Source organism: Homo sapiens, chromosome 1, assembly GCF_000001405.40.
Source record: "Homo sapiens chromosome 1, GRCh38.p14 Primary Assembly".
Lineage (NCBI taxonomy): Eukaryota > Metazoa > Chordata > Mammalia > Primates > Hominidae > Homo > Homo sapiens.
This window is the reverse complement of record NC_000001.11, coordinates 56,036,255-56,050,750: the sequence shown is the minus strand read 5'-3', so window position 1 is coordinate 56,050,750 and position 14,496 is coordinate 56,036,255. Positions and strand designations below refer to the sequence as shown.

Genomic DNA, 14,496 nt, shown 5'->3' with positions numbered 1-14,496 from the left:
CAGATCTTCAAGGTAGATGAAATAGCCTTCTATTGGAAGAAGATACCATGTAGGACTATCATAGCTAGAGAGGAGAAGTCAATCCCTGGCTTCAAAGCTTCAAAGGGCAGGCTGACTCTCTTGTTAAGGGCTAATGCAGCTGGTGACTTTAAATTGAAGCCAATGCTCACTAATCATTCAGAAAATTATAGGGCCCCTCAAAATTATGCTAAATCTACTCTGTGCACTATAAAGGAAAAACAAATGCCTAAATGACAGTACATCTTTTAAGCATGGTTCACTGAATAGTTTAAGCCCACTGTTCAGACCTACTGCTCAGATAAAAAGATTCCTTTTAAAAGATTACTGTTCATTGACAATACACATGGTCACTCAAGAACTCTGATAAAAATGTACAAGGAGGGCTCAGTTCTGTTCCATTGGTCTATATCTCTGTTTTGGTACCAGTACCATGCTGTTTTGGTTACCGTAGCCTTGTAGTATAGTTTGAAGTCAGGTAGCGTGATGCCTCCAGCTTTGTTCTTTTGGCTTAGGATTGTCTTGTCAATGTGTGCTCTTTTTTGGTTCCATATGAATGTTAAAGTAGTTTTATCCAATTCTGTGAAGAAAGTCATCAGTAGCTTGATGGGGATGGCATTGAATCTATAAATTACCTTGGGCAGTATGGCCATTTTCACGATATTGATTCTTCTTAACCATGAGCATGGAATGTACTTCCATTTGTTTGTGTCCTCTTTTATTTCATTGAGCAGTGGTTTGTAGTTCTCCTTGAAGAGGTTCTTCACATCCATTGGAAGTTGGATTCCTAGGTATTTTATTCTCTTTGAAGCAATTGTGAATGGGAGTTCACTCATGATTTGGCTCTCTCTGTTTGTCTGTTATTGGTGTATAAGAATGCTTGTGATTTTTGTACATTGATTTTGTGTCCTGAGACTTTGCTGAAGTTGCTTATCAGCTTAAGGAGATTTTGGGCTGAGATGATGGGGTTTTCTAGATATACAATCATGTTAACTGCAAACAGGGACAATTTGACTTCCTCTTTTCCTAATTGAGTACCTTTTATCTCTTTCTCCTGCCTGATTGCCCTGGCCAGAACTTCCAACACTATGTTGAATAGGAGTGGTGAAAGAGGGCATCCCTGTCTTGTGCCAATTTTCAAAGGGACTACAGAACAGAGCCCTCAGAAATAATACCACACATCTACAACTATCTGACCTTTGACAAACCTGACAAAGACAAGAAATGGGGAAAGGATTCCCTATTTAACAAATGGTGCTGGAAAAACTGGTTAGCCATATGTAGAAAGCTGAAACTGGATCCCTTCCTTACACCTTACAAAAAATTAATTCAAGATGGATTAAAGACTTAAAATTTAGACCTAAAACTGTAAAAACCCTAGAAGAAAACCTAGGCAATACCATTCAGGACATAGGCATGGGTAAGGACTTCATGTCTAAAACACCAAAAGCAATGGCAACAAAAGCCAAAATTGACAAATGGGATCTAGTTAAACTAAAGAGCTTCTGCACAACAAAAGAAACTACCATCAGAGTGAACAGGCAACCTACAGAATAGGAGAAAATTTTTGCAATCTACTCATCTGACAAAGGGCTAATATCCAGAATCTACAAAGAACTCAAACAAATTTACAAGAAAAAAACAACTCCATCAACAAGTGGGCGAAGGATATGAACGACACTTCTCAAAAGAAGACATTTATGCAGCCAACAGACACATGAAAAAAATGCTCATCATCACTGGCCATCAGAGAAATGCAAATGAAAACCACAATGAGATATCATCTCACACCAGTTAGAATGGCGATCATTTAAAAGTCAGGAACCAACAGGTGCTGGAGCGGATGTGGAGAAATAGGAACACTTTTACACTGTTGGTGGGACTGTAAACTGGTTCAACCATTGTGGAACACAGTGTGGCAATTCCTCAGGGATCTAGAATTAGAAATACCATTTGACCCAGCCATCCCATTACTGGGTATATACCCAAAGGAATATAAATCAGGCTGCTATAAAGACACCTGGACACATATGTTTATTGAGGCACTACTCACAATAGCAAAGACTTGGAACCAACCCAAATGTCCAACAATGATAGACTGGATTAAGAAAATGTGGCACGTATACACCATGGAATACTATGCAGCCATAAAAAATGATGAGTTCATGTCCTTTGTAGGGACATGGATGAAGCTGGAAACCATCATTTTCAGCAAACTATCGCAAGGACAAAAAACCAAACACCACATGTTCTCACTCATAGGTGGGAATTGAACAATGAGAACACTTGGACACAGGAAGGGGGACATCACACACTGGGGCCTGTTGTGGGGTGGGGGGAGGGGGGAGGGATAGCATTAGGAGATATACCTAATGTAAATGACGAGTTAATGGGTGCAGCACACCAACATGGCACGTGTATACATATGTAACAAACCTGCACATTGTGCACATGTACCCTTGAACTTAAAATATAATAAATATATATATTATATATATATATATAAATGTACAAGGAGATTAAAGTTGCTTTCATGCCTGCTAACACAACATCCATTCTGAAGTCCAAGGATCAAGGAGTAATTTTGACTTTCAAGTCTTCTTATTTAATAAATAAATTTCATAAGTTGATAGCTTCCATAGATAGTGATTCCTCTGTTGGATCTGGGAAAAGTCCATTGAAAACCTTCTGGGATGGATTTGTCATTCTAGATTCCATTAAGAACATTCATGATTCATGAGAGGAAGTCAACATATCATCATTAACAGGAGTTTTGAAGAAATTCACTCCAATCCTCATGGATGACTTTGAGGGGTTCAAGACTTCCATGAAGAAATTAACTGCAGACATGGTGAAAATAGAAAGATCACAAGAATTAGAAGTGAAGGCCTGAAGATGTTACTGAATTAATGTAATCTCCTGGTAAAACTTGAATGGACAAGGAGTTGCTTCTTATGGATGGGCAAAGAAAGTGTTTTCTTAAGATGGAATTTACTCCTGGTGAAGATGCTGTGAACATTGTTGAAATGACAACAAATGATTTAGAATATTACATAAACTTAGTTAAGAGTTTGAGAGGGTTGACTTCAATTTTTAAAGAAGGTCTAGTGTGGGTAAAATGCTATCAAACAGCATTGCATGCTACAGAGAAATCTTTTGCAGCAGCAAACTTCATTGTTGTCTTATTTTAAGAGGTTGCCACAGCCACCCCAACCTTCATCAACTACCACCTTGATTAGTCAGAAGCCATCAACATCAAGGCAAGATTCTCCAACAGCAAAATGATTATGACTCGCTGAAGGCTCAGATGATGGTTAGCAGTTTTTGGAAATAAAGTATTTTTAAAGTAAGATATGTACATTGTTGTTTTACACATGATATTATTGTACACTTAATTGACCATGATATAGTATAAACCTAACTCTTATCTGCACTAGGAAACCCAAAAATCCATGTGATTCCCCATTTTATTGAAGTATTTACTTCAATATTGAATCTACAATATATCTGAGGTATGCTTGTATATATTCTCAAAGCATCTACTGTGCCTATTATATCCTCAAAATCAGGCTAAACTCCCTCTGGAGTCTCCCCTCATCACCCTAGACACCATATTCTTGCTCTTTCAAAACATATACTTTCTTTTTTTTTGCTTATTTGTTTCAGCTTTTGCTTTTCACACAGCCATAGACTAGCCTATAATTGTCACTCTGATGAAGCTATATAGGCTGAGATTTTAATTTCAATGGAGATGGGAAAGCAAATAAATAGTAAATAAATCTAATTTAAATAAATATTACTGGAAGTTTTTATGTGATTACTCTTATGAAATGGGTTTTAAACAAACCCATGTTTGATGATTCCTCTCCTATAGGCAGCCAAATGGAGACTTTTGCTAATATCTTGGTATAGCAGAAAGGGAATGGGTTTTAGCTTCAGGGCCAAGCTCAAAAGTTGCTGCTTCAAAGAAGTTTTTCTTGACCCCCTCAGAAGGTCAGATTCTCAATTATATTGATTGAAATTGTGGCTCTGAAAGTACTCCATAATTTGTAAGGTGCTATGCAAATGCTGGTAATTATTATCTACTTTAAGACATAATCAGAAGGACACACCATGGTAAGATATGTTTTTATTTTTAACTGTTTGAAGTAGGTCTAGTTTTATTTTAGTCTAAGAAAAGGGTGAATTTTTATTCTTCTTCCCACTATTCATGACCAACCACAGGGGATCTCATTAGTGATTCAGTTGGTACTTACCACACTCCCAACTTGGCCCAAGAAGTGATGGAGTCTGAATATACACATGGCCTTAAAACAATTCAGAAATGAACTTAATGGCATTTAACAAATAATAAGCAAGTGGACAAATGCAGCCTCCTCAAACCATCTCTAATAACCCCACAAGAAAGAAGGAAAGAAGCCATCTCTATAAAAGTGCAAGGTGAAACAGCAAGTTCTGATGTAGAAGCTGCGGCAAATTAAAGAAAACAATATTTGAAATACGGGATAGTGCACTGCTCTGGGCAGATTTTGTGAATCTTAGTCCTCCAGTTAGAAAAGAGGTAGAGGTCCATGCTCTTCTGCACTTCTTGGTCTCTTGTCATAAGTAAGACATTCTGGCCCAAATTTTATTCAATTTTTAAGAGATTTTCCTAAGTATTTTAAGGTGCTGATTTTTCCTCTATTTCTTCCTCAGGGATCATGGAAGGTGATGTGGTTTGCTTGCCACATAAATTCAATTTGTCTTTAAAGCTTCTCGTCTTTAAAGCTGCTTCCTCTTACATAAAATGAAGATCAAAATCTTTATTTGACCATGTCTACCTGCTAAATGTTTGTGGCACTGAAGGAGCAAAGAAAGGGAAGATCTCCTAAGACTCCAGAGAAACACAAGGAGTCTTTATCATCAGGGGTCTTTGAAGGGAAGGAAGGTGCATGCTGTCTTAACAGATCAGCACCAAAGTTTTGAAAATCAAGTTGACACTTACAAATTAATAGCCCCATCTTGACACGCTCACTGGACAAGAACAAGTAGACACTGAAGCACTGGCTGACCCACTTGCCCCTGTCCTGTCCCACTTACTCAAAGTACCTCTTTGTGGTTTTGGACAGCTCACATTGAGAAGTGGTCAGCTTTAATTTTCTTTCTCTTGTTTCTCACACAGCCATAGACCAGCCTAAGATATAGAAGCTGAAATTTCAGTTTCAATAGCACTAGTGAGAATGAATTAATATTGAATAAATCTGATTTAAAAAATATTTCTGGCAGTTTTTATGATGATAATTCTTATGAATATGCAGCTTTAAACAAATTCACCTTTGTTGATGGTTCTCTTTCCTATAGACAGCCAAGCAGAGAGTTTTGCTCATATCTTGGCATAGGAGAAAAGGGGACAGGTTTCAGTTTCAGACAGTTCTGGATTCCAATCTTGATCAAATTACTAATTTTGTACATATGTAGCATTTAAAACGATTTTTTTTGTTAAACATTTTCGGTTGCATTTTCATATTTCATAAATCTTATTGCCTGTGGGCCTTCTTACCCTTTGAAGCAATGAATTTCAGAGCTTGGGGAGAAGCACAACACCCTCCTACAAGAACAGACCTATTGTTCGTTTTGACTCTAAAATTAGATATTTGTTTGAATCTATAAGTTAAGGGCTTAAAGCTGAGCAAAATAATATATTAATTAGGATTTGCATTTGGTTGTATGTAATGGAAACCTGGCTACTACATCTTAATAGCATTTGTTTTTCTCTGGAAAACAAACAGAGCACCACGTAGCTCTGGACTACAAAGACAAAGGCAGGTAGTCCAGAGCTACTGTGGTGGCAACTCGATGCTATTGGGACCCTGTGGTGGTCAATTTTGTGTGTCACGCTGGCTAGGCAAGAGTGCCCAGTTATTCAATCAAACACTAATCCAGGTTGCTGTGAAGGTAATTTGTAGATATGATTGAATTCACTTTAAGGAAGGAAATTATCCTAGATAAGCTGGGTGGGATTGTTTTAAACCATCTAAAGGTCTTAAGAGCAGAACTGATGCTTTGCTGAAGAAGCCTCATTCCACCTATGGACTACAGTTTTATCCTGTGCCCCTGAGTTCCAGCCTGCCCTTCCTGATGGCCTGCCCTACAGATTTCAGACTTGCCTAGACAGCCCCCACAATTGTATAAGCCAGTCTCTTGCAATAAATCTGCCTGTCTATCTGTCTATCTATCTATCTATCTATCTATCTATCTGTCATCTGTATATCTATCTATCTGTATATCTATCTATCTATCTATCTATCTATCTATCTATCTATCTATCTATCACTCATCTCCCACTGGTTTTGCTTATGGTGGGACCATGATTGATACAGACCTAGATTCCTTTTAGCTTTCCCTGTCACTATCCTTAGTGCTTGCAAGTGGTTACCGCAACACTAGGCATTGTGCCTATATACTTGGCAGAAGTAAGGGGAAAGGAAAAGGGCATAAACCAAAAAATGAACACCAACCAAGTCTGTGTCTTTCTAAAAAGGAAAACCCTATTCAGCAACTTCCACTCATATCTCCTTGGCAAGGACTGGGTCACGCGAGCAGCTCTAGTAACCTGTGAGTCAGGGAGAAGGAGAACACTTTGAAATGGGCACACTGTGGCTCTAAATAAAATGGGGATCTATAGTAAGGAAAATGGGGGTATTGGTTCAGCAACCACAGAGATTTTCTAAGTTCCCATATCATATTAAGAAACAAACCTGAACAACTTGGATCACTGAGTTTCTTCTATAATTGTAAAATGATTACTCCTTCCACCTGTGGCAGCTGGGTCTGGAAGCTTACTGCCTTGAGGGAGAAGCATGTATGTTTAGGAAGTAAGAACCCTGAAAGTTCATCTCTTCTGGCTCCAGAGTTTCTGGGAAGCAGAACTGAGAAGGAGATAGGAGAGGCAAATGGAGTGTGCCCTGACTTCCCTCTGTGCCTCAGCCCAGCATGGGGAAGGCTGGTAGGTGTTAGGTGAGTGATGTTGGGGAAGGAGTCATTCTTCTTGGCTTTCTATTTGGCACTCTGAAAAAAGGTGCAAAGCAAACTCAGACGAGTAGAGAGGCAGAGGGAGAAACAGAATTTGGCTTTTCAAAGCCACTTCTATTTTCTGTGATGAGGTGCCCCAAATTTCCCACATGACTCTGAGGAGGCATGGAAAGCCATTGAGTTGAGAAGCAGTAAACTTTCCATAGGACCCTCCAGCAAGGGGTGAGAGCCAGGTACAGGACAGAGACCAGGGCAGAGACTGGAGGTGATGTATCTGTGGCACTTGAGAGGTCAGAGAGAAGACTGAATTAGTAAGCATCCCAGGCCCTCATAAAGCTGAGAGGCTGGGGGAAATGAGAGGGTGGGGGAAAGAGGGAGAGATACCAGAGAGAGAGAAGAGGAGAGAGAGACCTGAGTTGCCCAGCTGCAGCCCTAGCAGCAGGGGACAGGTCAATGCCCAGGAATACAGGCTGTTGCCAACAACAGTGGAAATAGCCAGCCCAAATAGCAGCTCTGAATGGCCCCTCCACAGAAGAAGGCACTAGTGACCTGAGGGCCTGCCTTTCTACTCTGCTGCCTTTGGCCTGCCTCTCAAACACCAATATACAGAAGATAAAGAGAAGAGGGCCAAAATATGAGAGACTCAGTACATTTTACCTAACAAGAGCCAAACAATAACCCAAAAGGACTTTAAATTATTGCATAGGATATAAGTATAGCTGACCGGATTATAGTCTTTGTCCTATAACTACTACCCTAAGTCACTACTGAGTAAATAGAGACTCATTAATAGTTAAACTCATGAGAGTTAAGGAGAAAATGAGTTGTATTTCTTTGCATATCTGAATCAGAGTGTGATTTTGCAACTCCCCTATGTGTAAAATGAAGACAATACTTTTTGTGAGAGGTGGTTGGGAAAATAAAAATGAAATCTTGTTCCTTCTATGAAGAGCAGCTAAGAGTGATATGCTTAATATGTTAGCTTAATTTCAATTACCCGTGCCCACTGCCCACTGGTGAGCAGGCTCTATGTAAAGCAAGGCTTCCTGTATCCTTGGGGTGGTGAGAAAAGGAAGGCATTCAGGAGCGGATCTCATCATGAGCAGATTGTTACATTTTCTACCCCAAATCCTCTCCACTCCAATCACCCATATTGTTATATTGCCTCCTCTCTTTTCTGTCATTGCATCAATATATTGTTTGGGTATGTTTATATGTTTATTGTACATCTCTAGGAGGGGAAGGGCCATATCTGACTTCTTTGAAACTCAGGTACATGGTAGCCATGTAATAATTAATTGGTTAATGATGTAATTACTTCCCTGGGGCCCTAGAAACCCCATTTTTGCACATCCAATGTGGCCAATCCATATGTAGGTACATTTTTGATCCAAGAGGAAAATAGTTTATAGAATATACTTCTTTCTGCAATCACTGTCTGTTAATGCATTTGCTAATTTCATTTTACTTTTCAAACCCAATGGATTATTAGCATTTTAATAAACATCAAATTTAAAATATTTGTGAATCAGGACTCAAATATATGATCTATTTAGTCTTTTTAGTAAAATACCAGTATTTTCTTATAAAACAAAACCATAAAATACCATGTCCAATAATTCTATATCCTAACCTTGCTTTCATTATGTTTTCCAAGCCTTTTCTTCACTCTTAGTGTTGTTGGAGAGTTCCAGGGAGGAGTGAAGCTTCTCTCACCTATGACCCATTGTATTTTGTGGGAAATAAATTCTAGGATGGTTTTTCAAAGTATTTCTTCCAAAAAACATGTGTGCTGTGGGCTGAATGTTGGTGCCTTCCCCAAATTTATATGTTGGGACCTAGTACCCAATGTGATGGTATTGAGGAGTGGAGCCCTTTGTAAGTGATTAAATTATGAGGGCCCCAGCCTCATGAATGGTATTAGTACCTTTATAAAAGAGGCTGAAGCTAGCTTCCTTGACCATTCCACTATGTGAGAACACATAAAAAGTGCCATCTATGAAGAACAGGCCCTCATAAGACACCAAATCTGCTGGCACATTGGTCTTAAACTCCCCAGCCTCCAGGGCTGGGAGCAATAAATTTATATTTATAAATTATGCCGCTTAAGGTATTTTGTTATAGTAGCCTAAAAGAACTAAGGAAGAAATTCATATGAAGAAGCATGGTACTTCTGTAAGAAATACCTAAAAATGCAGAAGTGGCTTTGTAACTGGGTAATGGGTAGAGGCTGGAAGAATTTGAAGGACCATGCTAGAAAAAGTATATATATTTAAGGGGAATTTTGGCTAGTGCTCAAAAGAAGAAGAGCACTTCAGAGAAAGCCTTAACCTTCTTAGAGATTACCTAAGTGGTTATGATCAGAATGTTGGGCGAAATATAGATGGTAAAGGCCATTCAATGAGGTCTGAGACAGAAATGAGGAACAAGATATTGGAAACTAGTGGAAAGGCAATTCTTGTTATAAAATGGCAAAGAGCTTGGCTGAATTGCATTTATGTCCTAGTGCTTTGCAGCAGGTCAGAACACTTGAGCAATATAACAAGATATTTGGCAGAAGGAATATCTAAGTGAAATTTTGAGGACACTGCATGTCTTCTCTTGACTGTTTATAGCAAAACGTGAGAAGAAAGAAATGAATTAAAGAAGGAATTTATAGTCAAAAGGGAAGCAGAACTTAAAGGCTTGAAAAATTCTTAGCCTGGCCATGTTGTAAAGACTGCAAAAGCATGCTCGGGAAAGAATGCCAGGGATGTGCCCAAGTGCCCATCTGATAAGAAAATTATTGTGGATGGGTGGAAGCCTGGTGCAACTCATCAAGACGATGGAAGAATGACCCCCAAGGCATTTTGAAGATCTTTAGCACTGTCCTGCCTATCACGTGCCCAGAATGCTAAGGCCTTAAGAGCAGAATGATTTCAAGGCTCCACTCTTCACATTTCAGTGCAGTGCTTCTTGACCACCCCAGCCGTCACTCAAGTGGGCCCAAGTGCAGATCAGGTTGCCCCTCCAAAAGGCACAAATGGTAAACCTTAGCTGTGTCCATACAGAGCCATTTTCACCATGCTGCAGGATGCATGAGCTGTGGGAGTGTGGCTACATCCACCTAGATTTCAAAGGATGCCCCCGGAAACTTGAGGCCCAGGCAAAGAACTGCCACAGTGGTAGAGCGGCTCCAGAGGGCCCCACTAGGGCAATGCCCAGTGAAGCCATGGGAGCAGGTCCACCCCAAAGACCCCGGACTGATAAAGCCACCAGCATTCAATTTCAGCCTGGAAGAGCTATAGGCATGAGACTCCAACCTGTGAGAGTTGCAGCATGGGTTAATGTCGTGGGCTGGAGCCCCCTTCGGGCCTTGGAGGGCCAACCTCCCACTCCACTCTGTCCAGAGGTGAGGCTTTGAATCAAAGAACTTTATTCAGGCCAGGTTCAGTGGCTCATGCCTGCAATTCCAGCACTTTGGGAGGCCAAGTTGGGAGGATTACTTGAGCCCAGGAGTTAGAGACAGCGGTCAGCTATGACCATGCCACTGCACTCCAGCCTGGGCATCAGAGTAAGACCCTGACTCCTAAAAAAGAAGAAGTTTATTCTAAAGCCTTAAGATTTAATGTTTGCCTGATTGGGTTTTGGGTTTGGTAGGGACCTATTACTTATTTCTTCTTTCCTATTTCTCTCTTTGAAGGGGGAGTAACTATTCAATGCCTGACCACCATTCTATTTTAGAAACACATAACATGTTTAATTTCACAGGCTCACAACTGGAGAGCAATTTTCTTCAGGATGAATCATACCTTGAGTGTCATCTATATTTGATTTAGATGATATTTAGATGAGACTCTGGATTTAGGACTTTGGAGTTGGTGCTGGAACAACACCAACTATTGTCTGGGGCTCTTAGGATGGAATGAATGTATTTCACGTATGAGAAAGACATGAATATTGGGGGCCCAGGGTGGAATGGTATGGTCTGAATGTTTGTGTCCCCCCCAGAATTCATATGTTAGAATTTAATACCCAGTGTGACCACATTAAGAAGTGGAGCCCTTGGGAAGTAATTAAGTAATGAGGGCTTCATCCTCGTGAATGAGATCATCGTCCTTATAAAAGAGGCTTGAGCAAACTTCCTTGCCCCCTTTCACCTTGTGAAGACACAGCAAGGAGGAAGCAGAGAGCAAGCCCTCAGCAGACATCAAACCTGCTGACACCTTGATCTTGGGCTTCCCAGCCTCCAGAACTATGAACAACAAATTCCTAATGTTTGTATATTACTCAGTCTAAGGTATTTTGTTATAGCTGTGCAAACAGACTAAGACAATGTGTGTGTATGCATGTGTGTGCTTTATATACAGAGACACACACTTATTTGCATGTGTGTTTTATCTACATAAAATTGGCACCTATATTTACCAGGCACACACATATGTATGTATTTGCCATATATGAAGGGGAATCATAGAGTCATAAAGGCAAAAACAGAGGCTCCTCAACACTGTCAGTCCAATTCCTTTGTTTAGAGTTGTAGAAACTAAAGCCCAGTGAGGTCAAGTGACTTTTTGGAGATCAGACATTCTGTGAATGCTGGAGGGGGCTTCTCATGCAGAGATCCTGACTTTGGTTGAGAGCCCTTTGCAGGACCCAGGCTGCCTTCAGTCAATGTGTCTCCCATCTGGCTGGGAATTGGGTCCACATGACCAGCCTAGACATGCACCACTCATTTAAGGACCATGATGAGAAGGCTCAATTTATTGAACCCTATCAGTGAGAGAGCTCATTTGACACCTTGTCCATCCACAGGAGACTTTTCACCATAATCTCCTCTAAGCCTCATTGTTATTACATCAGGAAATTGGAAAAGATCTTGTGCCAAAAATGCTATGCTGAAATTATAAAGCCAGATAGAGCCGCTGATGGAGGGTGTCTGTGGGAGAGAGGGAGCCACATGGAGAGAAGGGGCTAGGGAGAGGAGAACAGGCATAGTGATGGAGAAATGAGAAGAGAGATGATGAAAGAGCCCATGAGAGACTAGAAACGGGAGCAGAGAGAGGCAGTGAAACAAGGACGAGATACAGAAACAGAGGATAAAAGAGGAGGGAGCAAGAAAAAACAGAGGAAAGGTGAAGGCAGAGATGCCTTCAGGATGTCCAAAAGTCGGAAGATGGAAAATAAGATGATTTTTAAACAGCATACTAGTTAAATTTTCAAGCAATATGGTCAATCTACTTTTCTTTAACCTCAGATACCTTTTCAGATGAAGTAACTCCATATTTAAAACATTAGGCCAACTATTAATCTAAAAAGCTCAAATAAACACACTATTTTCTTTGTATTTTCAGGATTTTTGTAGTATACTGACACCTTAGAAAGAGACAGTGAAGAGAGGAGAAAAGGGGAAAGAAGAGAGAAGAGGAGCCTGGGAGAGGGAAAACGAGCTAGAAACAAGATATAGAGGCAGATTCAGAAACTTGAAGAAAGAGTGGCAGAAGAGCGTGCTTATGCACCTGGACTGAGGCATATACAATACGCTCTGCAACTTGTCCTCAGAGGTGAAGAAGGCAGGAGGTCTGTGACAGGAAATCCTAGAAAAGCAACAGCCATGTGTTCTCATTGTTCAACTCCCACTTAAGAATGAGAAAATGCAGTGTTTGGTTTTCTGTTCCTGTGTTAGTTTGCTGAGGATGATGGCTTCCAGCTTCATCCATGTCCCTGAAAAGGACATGATCTCATTCTTTTTTATTGCTGCATAGTATTCCATGGTGTATATGTACCACATTTTCTTTATCCAGTCTATCCTTGATGGGCATTTGGGTTGGTTCCATGTCTTTACTATTGTAAATCGTGCTGCAACAAACATACGTGTACATGTGTCATTGTAGTAGAATGATTTATATTCCTTTGGGTGTATACCCAGTAATGGGATTGCTGGGTCAAATGGCATTTCTGGTTCTAGATCCTTGAGGAGTTGCCACACTGTCTTCCATGATGGTTGAACTAATTTACATTCCCACCAACAGTGTAAAAGTATTCCTATTTCTCCACAGCCTCGCCAGCATCTACTGTTTCCTGATTTTTCAATAATCACCATTCTGACCGGTGTGAGATGGTATCTCATAATTTTGACTTGCATTTCTCTAATGATCAGTGATGTTGAGCTTTTTTTCATGTTTCTTGGCCACAGAAATGTCTTCATTTGAGAAGTGTCATTCATATCCTTTGCCCACTCATTGATGTTTTTTTTTTCTTGTAAATTTGCATAAGGTCCTTGTAGATTCTGGATAGTAGACCTTTGTCAGATGGATAGATTGCAAAAATTTTCTCCCATTCTGTAGGCTGCCTGTTCACTCTGATGATAGTTTCTTTTGCTGTGCAGAAGCTCTTTTGTTTAATTAGTTCAAGGGGGAGTTGAACAATGAGAACAGAGAACACTTGGACACAGGGAGGGGAAAACACACCGGGGACTGTCGGGGGGTTGGGGGCAGGGGGAAGGAGAGCATTAGGACAAATACCTAATGCATGTGGGGCTTAAAACATAGGTGATGTGTTGATAGATGTAGCAAACCACCATGGCACATGTATACCTATGTAACAAACCTACACTTCTGCACATAAATCCTGGGAGTTAAAGTAAAATTTTAAAATTAAAAAAAAAGAAAAGCAACAGTCAAGTGAGTTTCCTGGGTGAGATGATTTAAGTGGAGGTGGAGGTGGAGTTAGGACTGTGAATTGCGGGGACATGGGGAGCTCTCTTTTAAAGAATGGATTGGAGGGTTCTTTCCTATGAATGAATCTGAAGAAAGAAAGAAAGGTCTCTTTTTTTCCACCTTGATTATTTATGCTATAAGTTAAGGAGGTGTTATAGACTGATTTGTTTTCCCCAAAATATGTATGTTGAGGCCTTAACATATATTTGGAGATAGAGCCTTTAGGAAGTCTATTAAGGTTAAATGAGGTCATAGGGTGGGGTCCTAGTCTGATGTCCTTATAAGAAGAGGAGGAAACACCAGAGATTCAATCTCTCTCTCTTTCTGTGTTTGTGTGCACATGCCTGTGCAGATAGTACAGGCCATGTGACTATCACATTCATTTTACAGGCAGGCAAATGTTGCTTCTTTTTAGATTCAGTTTCCTGAAAGTCCCACATCAGGTAAGTAGCACAGCCTGAACTTGTGTCTTCTGACTGTCTTCCATGCTGACTTCAGCCAAAAATCCTTCTTCTTTAAAAGGAAGAAGTTAAAACCTACTTGGAGTTACCACTTGTTTGAATCTATCTGAAAAATAAAACGTGCTCTTTCAGGGCTCAATGCGATCACAGCCAGGAATTTTTGGCAAAGATTTTTATTATCACAATATGTTCTGCTCTGCTAATGGGTTGATGGAGATGGTGAAGCATGACATCAATCCATAATGCATGGGGGGATGTGGAGAGTAAGAGGAAGGGTAAGCAGAGCCCCTTTGGAAATAGGGACACCA

At 40.2% G+C, this 14,496-nt stretch overlaps 1 long non-coding RNA gene across 1 annotated transcript in view; it reads right to left on the bottom strand.

The window, feature by feature from the left end:
• LOC105378737 (uncharacterized) overlaps positions 1-14,496 on the bottom strand; it is a 98,091-nt gene that overhangs the window by 8,409 nt on the left and 75,186 nt on the right. The gene's annotated exons all lie outside the window — the stretch shown is intronic.